Source organism: Homo sapiens, chromosome 4 (genome assembly GCF_000001405.40).
Source record: "Homo sapiens chromosome 4, GRCh38.p14 Primary Assembly".
Classification (NCBI taxonomy): domain Eukaryota; kingdom Metazoa; phylum Chordata; class Mammalia; order Primates; family Hominidae; genus Homo; species Homo sapiens.
In genome coordinates, this window is record NC_000004.12 from 90,038,944 (window position 1) to 90,053,295 (window position 14,352).

Genomic DNA, 14,352 nt, shown 5'->3' on the forward strand with positions numbered 1-14,352 from the left:
CCAAGACTGCGCCACTGCACTCCAACCTGGGTAACAGAGTAAGGCTCCATCTCAAAAAAAAAAAAAAAAAAAAAAAGAAATATCATACTCAGTTTTGATGTTTATTATATATTATTTAAATATTATTATTTTATTAAGTATTCATAAACTGGATAATCCAGATGATCTTTATATCTGCAAGAGAATTAGAATTTATTAAATATTTAAGAAGGCATGAATAACATTTTAATAAAAAATTACCTCCATAACTGGTTTAAAATAGTAGTGAAACAGAAGACTTCCAAGAGTTCCCTGATTCCCCTTGCAGGACGTGTCTAACAGAGGTGCGGCTCGGCTGTTTGGTCTCCCGACAGCTCAAACCCCTTACAGGAGGGTGAGCACACAGACAGGCAGGTGCAGGAAACCGGGAGGAGTGCCTTTGGGCTCCAGCCCCACAGAATCATCTAGGGGTGTGTGTCTGCGACTTCTGAAGTCCAAGTGGGCATATGTTACAGTGTGCTCCTTTAGCTTTGCCATCTGCAGATGGCTTGTGTGTTAATCAGCTCAATGGACCCTCGGCCTTATCACAAGGGCAGGGCCCCAGTGTGAGGGCCTTCTGTATCCCAAGCTCTTGCCCAGGGTCGCAAAAGAATCAGATCACATGCAGGCTTGAAGGATAAGTGCAATGTTTTATTGAGTGGTGGAGATGGCTTTCAGCAAGATGGATGAGGAGCCAGAAGGGGGAATGGAGAGGGAAGGTGGTCTTCCCCTGCAGTCAGGACTCCCAGTGGTGGGACTCTTTTCTGACTGCCCCTGGCCAAACTCCCCTCGGTGTCCAGACATCCTTCCTCCTCTCTCTTTGTCTGCCACATCATTCCGTCATTGCTGGTCTGCTGGTCTGCTGGTCTGCTGGTCTGCTGGTCTGCTTGCCTCCTCGTCTCCTTGCTTGCAGGTCACATCTGGAGTGTGGGATTCGAGATTTATATGAGGGCAGGATGGGGGCATGGCAGACCAAAAGGGAGTTTTTTGGGTGTGAAAACAGAGATACCTGTCCTCATTTAGGGCTGCAGGTCTTCAGGCTTGATGGTGGGGCCTTTGCCAGGAAACCGCCGTCTTCTACCCAGTATTCACCGATCCCTGGTCTGTATCACTAGCAACAAAAGACAAAAGAATTCTATAAATCTTTTTTTTGGATATACTTCTATATGGAAAACATTTGAAAAATGTTACTGTGCAGTGTGATGTCCCTCCTCCACACTGCCTGCCTTGTCGGTGCTCCTGTCTTTTGGTTGCCAGAACTCTGAGGAACTCCTTGAGTGTTAAACTAATCATTTTATAATACACAAATATTACTTTGAACATTATAAATTATAAATTTATATTATAGGAAAAGCATAAAACAATTATATAGCCATTATAAAAGTACACAGAAGTTATTTGCCTTCAAAATTCCAAATATTGCTTTGTTCTACTGACCACTGTTCATCATTTGGTGAGTTTCCACAAAATATTGCCTCTCCATTTTTACATGATGGTTTAATTATATCTTCTCCTCTTTCCCCTGATTTTTTCTCTTTCTTTTTTTAACAGTGGCGAAATAAGAGTAATGCATGCACGTAATTTTCTCTAACACAATTATTTGACTGGATGGGGGAAAAAACAATCCTTTAAGTTTTGAATGAACTCATTTCCCCTTGCCTTGCAATCTGATAGAGGCTAGGCACCTCTAAGTCATAAATTATTCCACAAATATGTATTGACTATCTACTCTGAGCCAGGAACTGGAGAAGTCAAGCCAATACCTTACAGTCTTCTTCTAAAACTAGCAAGTTTGGGGTTGACATCAAAAGTCTAGGTTTTGCAGTTACTTCAGAGTTCTAAATGAAGATCAGTTGCCAACATGTGGATGGACATGCAATGAAGATATGAAGGAATACAGAGGAACTTCTGAATTGGAAGCAAGTGGTGAGCCTGAGTAGATAATGTGTATAAATGGGTAAAATGAAAGAAAAATTAATGGCATCTTGCATGTTAATTATACAACTAAAAATACTAAAGTCATGCCTTTTATAGTACATTTATTAAGTCGCTACTAAGTGACTTTTATTCCAATAAATGCTATGAGATTATCAAGTACACACAATTTTGTTTGTGACATGACTTCCTTTGGTACATACAATCCTGACAACTGTTTTGAATTTAAATTCATCAACACAATCTTAGCATATTTCCACAATAAATTCACTTGCCCGATCTCTCTCCAGTTATTAAGTTTTTTATAATCCGGTGCTTATGGGAAACTTTACCCTGAATTACTTTTTGGCACCCGAATTGTAGGAAACAGCATGGCCTTGTAGTCAGACAAAGTGATCTCAAACTTGGCTTTCCCCATTTTCCATCTCTGTGACCGTGAGTACAAAAATAACCCTCCTCTCAAAAATATAGCTAGTAATAGGTACTCCACCTGGTTGTTAATAGAATTAATCAGAAAGTACATGCAGTGCACCCAATAAAATATCAGTCTCTCCCCTACTTAAATATTTCAACATAGATTTCAAGATGTATGGGTGGAGATTTTATATAATTTGAAATAAATATTTTCTTCTAGTAGCAGTCCAAGAAATAGAAGATGTGAAAAAATACAGAGGAAGAATCAGTGCAGTGAGAAGACAGTCAGCTTTCTATTCTGGAATCAGCAAGAGATGGGAGTTAATAGTCTCTTCTGCATTGTGTTTTTGCTGAAGAAGTGCTTAGTATAAAAATTGTCTGGATTAGGGCAGATACTGGGCTTTCCTTAGGTTGCTCTTGGGCAGAACTATTTGAGTGGACTTGGAGGCCCCAAATTCTCAGGAGATTAAGCCAGCGGTAATAGGCCTGATCTGGCACTGTTTATCTCTTTGTATCCAGTAGGACAAGCCTTATTCACAGTAATGTAATTTCTGACGATGTTTATTTTTTTCCAGTTTTACCTGAAATTGATTTAAGTAACAAAGTGATAATCATGGGTATGAGCCAAGGGATCTTCCTTTCCAGGAAGAAAAATGTAAAAGCTTAGCCACAGCTGATGTTTGGCTTGGGGATTTAGGGAAAATCTGTGACACATTGCTTCTGAGGATGACTTCCATTCTGTGGCAGCCAGCAGCTGTGTGATCGTATTTGAATGCAAACACCTGTAACATTTGGAAGGGTCTTTAACACCAGCTTCTCCTGGTATAGAAACTATTAAAATCAAGAGACCTTATTTTCTTCCTTACCTTTCAAATGTAAGTCTTCCTTAAGGTGGACAGAAAATGAATTGTTTCCTTCTTACCATCTGTTATTGTTTTTGCCTGAAGGCCTGACTGCCTTCCTACTCCCTAATAAACAAAGGGGAATTCTATTGACCAATTCATTTTCAAAGAGATTTTAAAAGGCATTAAGCAATCAATTCTCACATAGTGTCCAAATTGAGTCTCTCATTCATTCTCTTGCCTGAGAAGAACCTGAAAGCAATATTCACATAAAACATATTCACTCAGGGTATAGACAGTGTTGCTTTATGTATTAATATTTACCAAGTTGCAGGATTCTTGAATACTGTATTTCATACTGGATTTATATTTTTACTTCTCTTCTTCTCTCTTTCCCTTTTTGAGTATGATATTTTTAATTTTAAAATAATTAAGCTTCATATGCTCTTATATGTATTGTCATTCATTTTTTGGAGAAAACCTAATGTGACATCTGATAAAGAAATCAAAGTGCTGATAGTGGTAGTTACAAAGGCAAAGGGATAACTTGGTCAAATATTATCATTTCTTTTGACGTATGTCTTCCTTTCAACAATGAGATTTTGAACAATCGAGGTATTTTATTGTAAGCACCTCAGAGTGAAGTCTCTATTGTTAAATTTACTTTTTCTTTGATGTAAAATGCTTTACATGCGGAAAATAATGGCTTTTATTTTCCAGTACCTTTCTAGTTTAGAATACAAACTCTTCACGTTAAGGTATTTGTGTGATAAAAGATACTTAATCACTTATTAAAGATTCACTTCCAATTCTAATTTCTATGTTTTCACAAAAATACGTCATATTCTTGAATCTTCTCATTTTTCACCTAGAATGAAATCTTAAGAAAACAATTGTACATAGAAGTTGTATCATTAGCTCATTTGAAAATGCAATTTTGTTTTGGAAGCTATTGATAATTAGAACAGCGAGGGACCCCCATCTGCTTAGTTACCTATATCTCATTTTTATACTTTATTCAGCTATCCTATATTTTTATGTTATGAATGTAAATATCTTTTCCTTGAGATCCCTCCAAAGACAACAAATTTCATATTACAATTCTTATCTGTAAAGACAGAAACTATAAAAGCATGAATAGCTTTACTGTTAGACTATATGTGAAGAATGACTGCTATATTACTGAAAGAACCGATTTCACGTCACTGACTTCCCCAAGTCACAATTTTCATCTTTCAAAAAGTGATAACTTACTCTCTTCTAGAAATAGAAAAAAAATGCCAAAGACAGTGCTAAAGTAAATAATCTCTATTGATTTCATTTCCAATAATAAATAAATTGAACTTGAAAGTTATTTTTTTCAACATGGTAAAACATCAGAAAATCTTACAATGTTAGAATAAATTCAACTTCACTACAATTAAAAAGAAAATGTAAATTGAAGGAAATTGTTTTAAGTTAACACACCAGGGTTGAGGTCAGGTGGTCATGTAGGAAATGAAGTTAGCATTAGGAAAGGGAGGGCTTGAGTGCAGATGTAGGGCTCTGGCTCTATTTAACAGATATGTGTGCTTTTGGAAATTTATTTAATCCCTATGGTCCTTTAGTTTTGTCATAAGTAAACCTCTATCAGATTTATTTTGGGATAAATATTTATTAGAAAAACTAAACCAATAAAAAAAGCCTAAACATTTTAGCATCTATACAAATAAAGGGCTAATTTATGTCATAAAAATGTTCCCTTTTATCTTTATGCTTTTTATAAGTAATATCGAAAATGGTAATACTGTAGTAAAGTTAGCAGATACAATTCTCTTAGAACAATTCATGCATATTGTTATGTTGTTTCATCTGTTATCTTTCTGGAATTTTCTTTTATAAAATTTAATTCCATTACTGCTATCTAATATTGCTGTCACATTATCATAGTCTTCATTAATGCATAATTGCCTTTGCTCCTTCTCCATATTTCTTTTTGCTGGAGACTAATGTAAAATTGCAGTTCATTAATTACACCATCATAAAAATCCTTGTTAATTTGATTACTTCGTGCATTTATCTATGAACCTATCCTTTCTTGATTTTCTCCCTTGATCTATGTTTATTTCTTATTGCCTTCATCTTTTATCTTATAATTTTTTATGCAACTGAAATCAATGTATTTAAAAAAGAACTGGATGTATCTGTACTTGAGTGGATTACAAAAACCTGATACATTTTAAGTGTATAGATCAGGAATAATTATATTAAATAGCATCCATGATATTCCAAAGTGGATTCAAAGACTGAGGGGAATAAAAAGACTGATTTCATGACATCATATGTACCTAAAATACAGACTGAAACTGAAATTATATGTTGACAAAACAAGCAGCCAAATCATCAAAAAAGAGGAGGAAAAATCAATAAACTGCCTATTCAGAGACATGAAGACATTACAGCTGAAATATTGAGCAGATATTTCCTTTCAACTAGTTTTTTGTTTTTTTTATGGTTTTTGTTTTGCATTGTCTATAGTATTTTGCACTACTTATATACATATACCTTAGATAAGAGAAAGTCTTGACTAGAGAATTAATGAATTAAGGAATGATGAAACAGCTTATAAGGGTCTCTAGAAAACACAATGAGTTCTCCTACAGACATTATTAACCACTCTATTTTGCAAAACAATACCAAAATGTTTTGTGAAGACTTTTGATGGTTTGTTTTAGGAAAATAAAAGATGACCGAGGGACAGGCACTGGGGCTCATGCCTGTAATCGCAGCACTTTGGGAGGCCAAGGTGGGAGGATGGTATGAGGCCAGAAATTCAAGGCTGCAGTGAGCTATGATTACACCACTGCACTCTAGACTGGGTAACTGAGAAAGACCCTGGCTCCAAAAAAAATAAATAAATAAAATAAAAATCCCAGGAAAAAAAAAAAAAGATGACTGACATTACTCCTTAGTAAAGCTTCACTGTCCTTAGCCAGAGACTTTGACTTTTGGGTATTTCCAGTACATGGATGACTGTGGCATACATTGATACCACTTCTTCCTGACACTCTGTTTCTTGGCAAACTTCCAATCTCAAACCTTCTGCCCTTCCTACCAACCCCTGCTGATGACTCTATCAGACAGTTATCTTTAGGTTTGGAGAAAAATTAACATTTTTGAGATAAATCCTCGCTAACTTTCCACCTTCATTAATTTTCCCCAGCTTTACTCTTTACAGATAATAGGTTTTCTTTTTTTTCTGAAAATGTAATAAAAGCCAAATGTATCTGTCACTTTAAATTCCATGAAATGACTTGGTTAAAATGAACTATGGCAGCTAGCTTTTTAATAAAAGTGTGCAGTAGATCTTCTCATTGTTTGAATAGCTATATTATGATTTGTTTACATTTATATCTTCATACAGGACGTATCATCCTAGATCTGGAAAATCCTTTTAAATGGCTATCATCTACAGATGCCTTTTCTACTATGTTTTCCCAGCAAAACTAGGTTTTAATTAGGCTCCCTTCCTACTAGCCTTTAGTGGATAAAATCACAGTTATGACATTTATGATCTGAATCAAATTCCAAAGGGTACAATTATGGGGAAGAGAAAGTGTTATGATGGTAGTGGTGGTGATGGTTATTATTATTATTGTAAATGTAACCAACATTTACGTAGTATTTTATAGTTTTAAAAGTGCTGGCATGTGAATCACCTTATTAAATGAGACAAATGAGGAAATTCACAGTTCCTAATTTCTACTCATGAATGAAATTGTTTAATTTTTTTTCCTTCTCATTACCAGACTTGAGGAGCATGTCTATTAGGTTCGTGTTCATTATCTGTGAGGATTCCCGCAATGGGGTACTGAAGTGAGGAAGAATGACATACCGGCAAGCTGTGTGATTAGAAAATAGAAAACTATTTTGGCAATAATATAAGTCATGAGAGATTGCAGAACAGCAATCGATTAATCTGAAGGAAAAAAGTAGAATAAAATCAAATCTTATAAAGAAAATAAATAGCATTAGAGCCTTAGAATAAAAAATTAAAGTGTGAATACCCCTTTAGAAATTCCTTGGTATGAAAACATGTCTTGAAAGCATTTACATAGGGAGAGATGAGGATTTGAGCTGCTTGTAGGAAGATACATGAAGGAAGAAATCACTTTACCAATACCAGCTAAAGTTAATTTGATGCTTCCTGTATTATAAAGCCTATAGCTATTTTCTCTCACCCTAATTTGAAATGTCTGCTACCTCACCATACAATTAAAATTTATTTATATTATTCCAAAATGAATAACTGAGAGACAAAGCTTTATGTAACTGGAAACTATGAAATCCTCCTCCAATCCTCCCACTCCTCCCCTGACCCTCCTTACTCCCCCGACTCAGATTATCAAAGAATTTAAGATAGAGATCTTGTAATTCTGAGATAAATTCTCAGAATATGCAACAAGTCTGCTAAATTTGGAGGTAGGGACCAAAGAGAACTGAGTACATCTGAAAATGGAAGATCGCTTTGATTTGATTGTTTGTTTGTTTTGCCCCTGAGTGAGGCAGAGAAGAAAGGGAAGGAATACTGAAAAAAAGAGGAAGGGAAAAAAAAAAGCAATGAGAAGAGTCAACAGGGAAACTGAATAGAATGCTGGACAAAAGCGTGAGTTTGGAAATAACTAAAGAGATTAGATATTTTAAATAAATATCTAATTATTTGGAACTAAATAAATATTTTATACTACATTTAGTTGTGTTGCAGCAATGCACTACTTCCCAAGCCCCAAACCTTTAGTAATCTGTTACACACGTTTCCCGTGTGCACACCTGTGTGTGTGCACTGTGTGTACAGTATGTATAAAAATGAGAAGAGGGACAATTAGAAACCAATAGATATATGTATTTTAAATGAATAATTTAGAACACTAGAAAATAAGAACATCAAAAAAACTGTGAAACTAACAAAGGTAAACATTATATAATTTAATGCTTTCCTGGTGCTGGCCCTCTATGGGAAAAGACACCATTGTATTTTGAATTTAGGTTTATAAGAGAAAAACAGATTATCATCATAGTGTAACCCTGCCCATTAAACACCACATAAAATTGGTTGATAAGCCAGTGTTAAAACATTTAGAATATCCAATAACCTCACCAGAATTTCTCTGCATTCCAAGGGCCAAGGTTGAGGGCTGTATATTTGTGGATGTGTGCCTGTTTTAGGTTGAGGCAGGTGGGGCTGGCTAACTTGTCACGGTTACTTCTGGCTCCAAGTTTCACTTTCAGCGATTTAGTTCAGTGTCCCTATTGATCCAGACATGAAATCTAACTTTTCTCTTCCATATTCTTAAACACTGTGGAGCACTAATAAAACGTGGTCAATTCTATCTGAGGTCTCTTTAAATTGTACTTAGAAATGCATTTTGATTGAAAGGCCTGAAAAACCGAAACAGATCATTCTTTAATAATAGAATTTCTTCCACTTTGACAGCTTGGTATAGAGGAAAAATGAAGAGAGGGGAATTTACAAAGCTGAAAACTATTTTGTCTATAATACTAAACCCACTGATAGTCAAATTTGTTTATTCTTGTCTGCATTACTTGTCACTAGATTTCTATCGAGATAAAATATTAAAAACATATTATAACTTTTTGTTATATGCATGGATTTGGGAACAATTATCCTTCAAGTTACCCTGATTCTAGATTTAAAAGCAAACAAACACTCATAGGTGTTCTCTTGGCTATTATTTATTTCTAGTTGTATTCTATATTGAGGAGAGTTCAGTTGCAGAGGGCCGACTCTACTCCAACTAGCTGGAACATAAGGAGGTTTATTCCTGGCTATTAAATGGCTCATAGAATTTGGGGGAATGCAAATGAAGTTGACTCTAGGCTGAACTTGAGCAATAAATCCTAAAGTCATACAACTTCCAGGAGAGCATCCAAAAGCCATAGAGTAGAACTGGACCACTCAGGAGTCCACTAACCCAGAAATGATGGTGACTGGTGGAATCAGAAAGTTGGCTAGTAAATTAGGAAACTATTGCTACAGTTTCTGGCTCCAAAACATATCAATATTACCTTAATACGCACAAATAAAATGGATGCTTTCTGCTCAGTTCCTCCTCATGTATGTCTCTCCCTCAATTCCAGATCATGATGACACATCCCATTGGTGGACATTAAACCATATAGGGATACCTCAGTGAGTCTGGTAAATGTGGCCTTTACTTAGCAGCCTCTGCACACTTGAAAGAGGATGGAATGCATTTCTGAGTGAGCCAATTCATGGTACCAGCTACATATTCTTCTTGATTGTGGCCTCGGGGACTTCATTCGGTAATATATTCTATTAATTAAAATATTTAGAATAACTAGTATTTATGAATAAAACATGAGAGTAAAATTTGAAAATCCTTACTAATATAGGGAAGAATCGCATGGAAACTTGAATAAAATAGATTTATAGTTTTCAATTAGTGTTGCACATCCAACACAGGGACATCTGGGAATGTGTGCCAGATTGTTGGTTACCACTATGAGGGTGAAATTCTATGAGCATTTAGTGGAAAGGGGTCAGAGGTAGTAAGTTCTTCAGTACATGGAATATACAATAGAATTTGACACAATGAAGAATTGTCTCACTGCAAATACCAAGAGCACCTCTATTGAGAAATGTTGGCATAGGTAATCTCCAAATAATTTCAATTTCAATAACCTACATTATTATCAGAAAAATTTACTGAAATCAATCATCTATTTTGCTGTTTTCTACTCTCTTAATAGAAGGGCACATACCCAGATAAATATTAATATGGAGATAGGTAAAAAATGAGCAGGAATAAAAGATATTAATATTTTATGAACAAAAGAATTATTTGACTTTACTAAACAGTAGTTTTCAAAGGATGTTCAGCTAACCAGAAGCATTGGCACCACGTGGGAACTTGTTAGAAATGAAAACTCTCTGGACTATATCAGACTCATAGAATCAGAAACTGTGGAGCTAGGGCCCAGAAATGTGTGTATTAACAAGCCCTCCAGGCAGATATAATATACTTTTAAGTTTTGACAGCTTCTGGAATAAAAGCATCAAGGACTGAAATGTTGTATATGTTTGTTGTAATTAGAAAATTCAAGTTTTCATTTGCGAAGAAGGTATTCAAAGGAAAGAAACATTTTGTATGAAATTAGCCTACATTGGCAAATTCTTTGGTTCTTCTAACAATTATTCCTCCTAGGCATGCTGTCCAAGAGGATATGAAAGAGAACAGATTTAAGACATAACCCAAACTAGGAGCCTGCAACAGAGATAACCAGAAATTAGGTGTATTAGTTTTCTTTTTTTTTTTTTTTTTTTTTTTTTTTGAGACGGAGTCTCGCTCTGTCGCCCAGGCCGGACTGCGGACTGCAGTGGCGCAATCTCGGCTCACTGCAAGCTCCGCTTCCCGGGTTCACGCCATTCTCCTGCCTCAGCCTCCCGAGTAGCTGGGACTACAGGCGCCCGTCACCGCGCCCGGCTAATTTTCTGTATTTTTAGTAGAGACGGGGTTTCACCTTGTTAGCCAGGATGGTCTCGATCTCCTGACCTCATGATCCACCCGCCTCGGCCTCCCAAGGTGTATTAGTTTTCTATGGCTGCTGTAAAAAATAACCACAATCTTAAGGGCACAGTTCCTATAGATCAGAAGTCTAACACAGGTCTCGCCAGGTTAAAATCAAGGTGTCAGCAAGGCTGCATTCCTTATGGGAGGCTCTGGAGAGGAATCAGCTTTCACATTCATTTGTATTGTTGGCCAAATTTGGTGGATGGATGTAGGATTGAAATATCCACTTCATTGCTAACTGTGAGTAGAAGGGCACCCTTCACTCTTAGAGGCCTCTCTTTAGTTTGTGTTTATGACCTCTTACAGCACAGCCTTCTCATATTTGAAATCTAACTTCTATCATTGTTCCTGCTGTTCCTCTTCTGCCTTCTACTGTTATCTATGTGGCTCCAGCCAAAGGAAGTTCTCTGCTTTTTCATGTAATTAGATTGGGCCAACCTGGATAATTCAGGTTACTCTTCCTAAAGTCCATAAACTTCATTATGTCTGCAAAGTTTCTTTTCCATGCAATGTAATATATTCACAGGTTCATGGGATTAAGTTATGGACATCTTTGGAGAGCCATGATTTAACCTATCACATGGGGGAATTCGTTCATTTATGCCTTGAACCACAGCACTAACAGTGCTAGGCTTTGGAGTGTGAAACAATGAAGGTCATAGTTTCTTATTTCAAGGATTGTATAGTCTAGACTATGTAGAAGCAGATGAAGGAGTCAGAGAAGGGCACTATATCTTACATATGAATTCACTCATTATAGTAATTCCTAGATAGTCTATAATATTTTTGTTAATAGTGATATTAAGTAATTACAAGAATCTCAGGCAGCAGAACTTCAAGGGGAGCTATGCAGCATTTAGAAAATTTATTCACTCCTTAGGGTTCCAGGGAGGTCACTTGGTAGCAGTTTAGTCTCCAGGCCCTGTAGGAGCAGAGGACAGGGATTCCCAATCATCAAACCAAAATCAGAGTCCAGTCCCTCAACGGGGACTGAGGTCTCATGAGTGAAACTAGTGAGAACCTAGAAATAGAGACCAATGTAGGAACATATTGTGAGAGCTCAACCAATTATAGTAGAAAAAAGGATGAGTACCCTGGGACTTGGGGCAGCCATACACATGCACAGGGATTTCCCTTTCATGGTTCTTGTGCTGGATTTGACTGGTAGCAAGGAGACTTGGAGAAACAACTCAGGAGAACAGTGGTCCTCACTGGGCCACAGAAAACCCTGTGTGTTTGGTAGCAACGTAAGTGTGAATGCCAACAGTGGCTCTAGAGCAGGAGAGGACTGATCCTGGGGATCGTGTCGGGAAGCCATGAACTCTCAGAACCTGAGAGTCCTTGATTACTCTGTCTGTGGGTTTGGAGAGTCTCTCTCAAACTGAAGTTTTACTTCGTATTTTAGAAAAAAGGTGTCAAGATTTGTAAAACACTGTGACAGGTGACAACGGAGACTAAGAATTTAAGGTTTGGGATATAGAAGATATTTTTGGTAACTGAGATTCCTGTCACCTGGGACAATATCAATTTGTTAAATTCAGATTTTTTAAGATGTATGTGGGCCTACATATACTATATTAACTTATTTTTCTTCCTTTCCTCCTAAAGCATTTTTATTTCATTTTATTTATCTTTTTGAGGCAGGATCTCACTCTGTTGCCCAGGCTGGAGTCTAGTGGTGCAACTGTAGCTTATTGCAACTTCAAACTCCTTTGCTCAAGCGATCCTCCCACCTCAGCCTCCCAAAGTGTTGGCCTTATATGTGTAAGTCACCGTGCCTGGCCTAAAAGCGTTTTAATATGGATTGCATTAAGACTTTTTACAATAATACATTAGAGAGAAAATTATGAGAATAAGGATCTTTAAATGTTTTTCCTTTTAGTAAATAGAACAAAGGGTGATAGTAGTATATGCCAAGCTTCCCCACCCTCTGAAATGAGGAATTATATGTGAAATCTTTAGATTTTTTTTTCTGTGAGAAAATAACAGAAGCTACTGTATAATTCTTAGTCTTCAATCTTCCTTTCTCATTAAAGTGAAAACACAATGGAAAGAAATGAAGGATTTATCATATTTATATAGGCAAATCTTTACAATTGATATAAAATAAAAGGAAGGAGGGAGCCAAAGCAGACCTTTTGGGAGATCCTCTGATTCAGGAACAGCAGCTAGAAGCTTCTGAGAAGTAAACACAAAAGAGGAGAAACCGTAAGGTTCTGAGTGTTCAAAGAATCACCTTCAAGATTTTTAACAGTCATACTTATTAGTTTTGAGGCTTTTTTTCCCCTAACAAATGAGCTTAATGTTTAAAGAGCCACTGGCATGTACATATGTTGACTATGGCTTCTATTTTAATTTTATGTTAAGGGGATCACCAGAAAAGCAGTGTGGAGCTTGTAACCATCTAACCTGACCCAGGTAACGAAAGTCAGCCCTCAGTAGGGCATTATCCAACCCTGGAGCTGAGGCTCCAATTTCCTTGGCCTTTGGGGATTGGATCTCACTTCTAATGGTATTCACGGCTGCCATGTATCGTGCAAGGTCAGTAATATGTGGCTGTTCTGATGCTATATTTAATTGCATATGTTCACATTATGGTTTTATTGCCAGTTGGATTCAGAACCTTTATGATATTATTGGGGGAGTGTACAAGATCGTGGATAAAGGGGATAGAGTTTTATGCCCGGGTCTTTGGCTCACTCCAGATGTGACCTCGCATAAATTAGCCACCTTTCTTTTGATTTAGCTACAACTGCAATTTATGTTGGCTTGTGGCAAAGCTAACTGCAAGTGGTTTTGACATAAAATGTAGGATTTATATAATTAGTTGTATTTTCCTGTAAATCTTACGTAGATTAACTTTTACCTCATAAGACCACAGAGAAGAGAAATCTCTAAAAATCATTGCAAAGCACTTGCGTTAACACATGTATATTGCTATGCAAATGCTAACTAATGATAATAACTATTGGAATGGAGCTTAATTGAGGGACTAAAAATAGCTCACTGCAAGCAAAATCGAGCACGTCCTTTTAGTTGTGCTAATATTATACAGAAGGAATAGGCAAAAGTTTTAAGATAATAATGTTTTATTCAGCCTTACTGACATTATTCTTCTGTGTCTTCTCATTTGAGATTGTCTTTGCTAATAGCTTTAACATTTTCCAACAAGTGCATTACTGAGCCAAGAATGCCCAGCATCCAAATTACTGATGCTTGGGGCAGGTGGGACACAGCTGCAAGTCACATAAAATCACAGCTGGAATGCTGCTCTTCTTTGTCATTTTTTGTATATTTTAGCTTAAAATATAATTATTAAACCTGAGAAGATGACTGTACTAATTCTTTAGGATAATTGTCCAACATTTCCAACTCTTTCTACATTTTTACGGAAAATCTGGAAAGTTACATTAGTCTTGCTATTACCAAGGATTATTATTCCTTCTACAACATACTGATTACAGGGATTTTACCTTTGTTCAAAATTTATTTTTAATTAATTTTGTTGATCTCCAGTCATATACAGTTCACCATTTTATAAACCAGAATAC

The 14,352-nt window shown here is 36.4% G+C and overlaps 1 long non-coding RNA gene across 1 annotated transcript in view; it reads right to left on the reverse strand.

Moving 5' to 3' along the window:
- Positions 1-648: 648 nt before the first annotated feature.
- The window catches only part of LOC105377331 (uncharacterized), a 35,231-nt gene continuing 21,527 nt past the window's right edge, over positions 649-14,352 (reverse strand). Inside the window, exons 2-4 of the long non-coding RNA XR_939000.3 lie at positions 12,937-12,979; positions 1,028-1,129; positions 649-938 (exon numbers count right to left, since the gene is read on the reverse strand). This is a non-coding gene — a long non-coding RNA (uncharacterized LOC105377331). The remainder of the gene's footprint in view (positions 939-1,027; positions 1,130-12,936; positions 12,980-14,352) is intronic.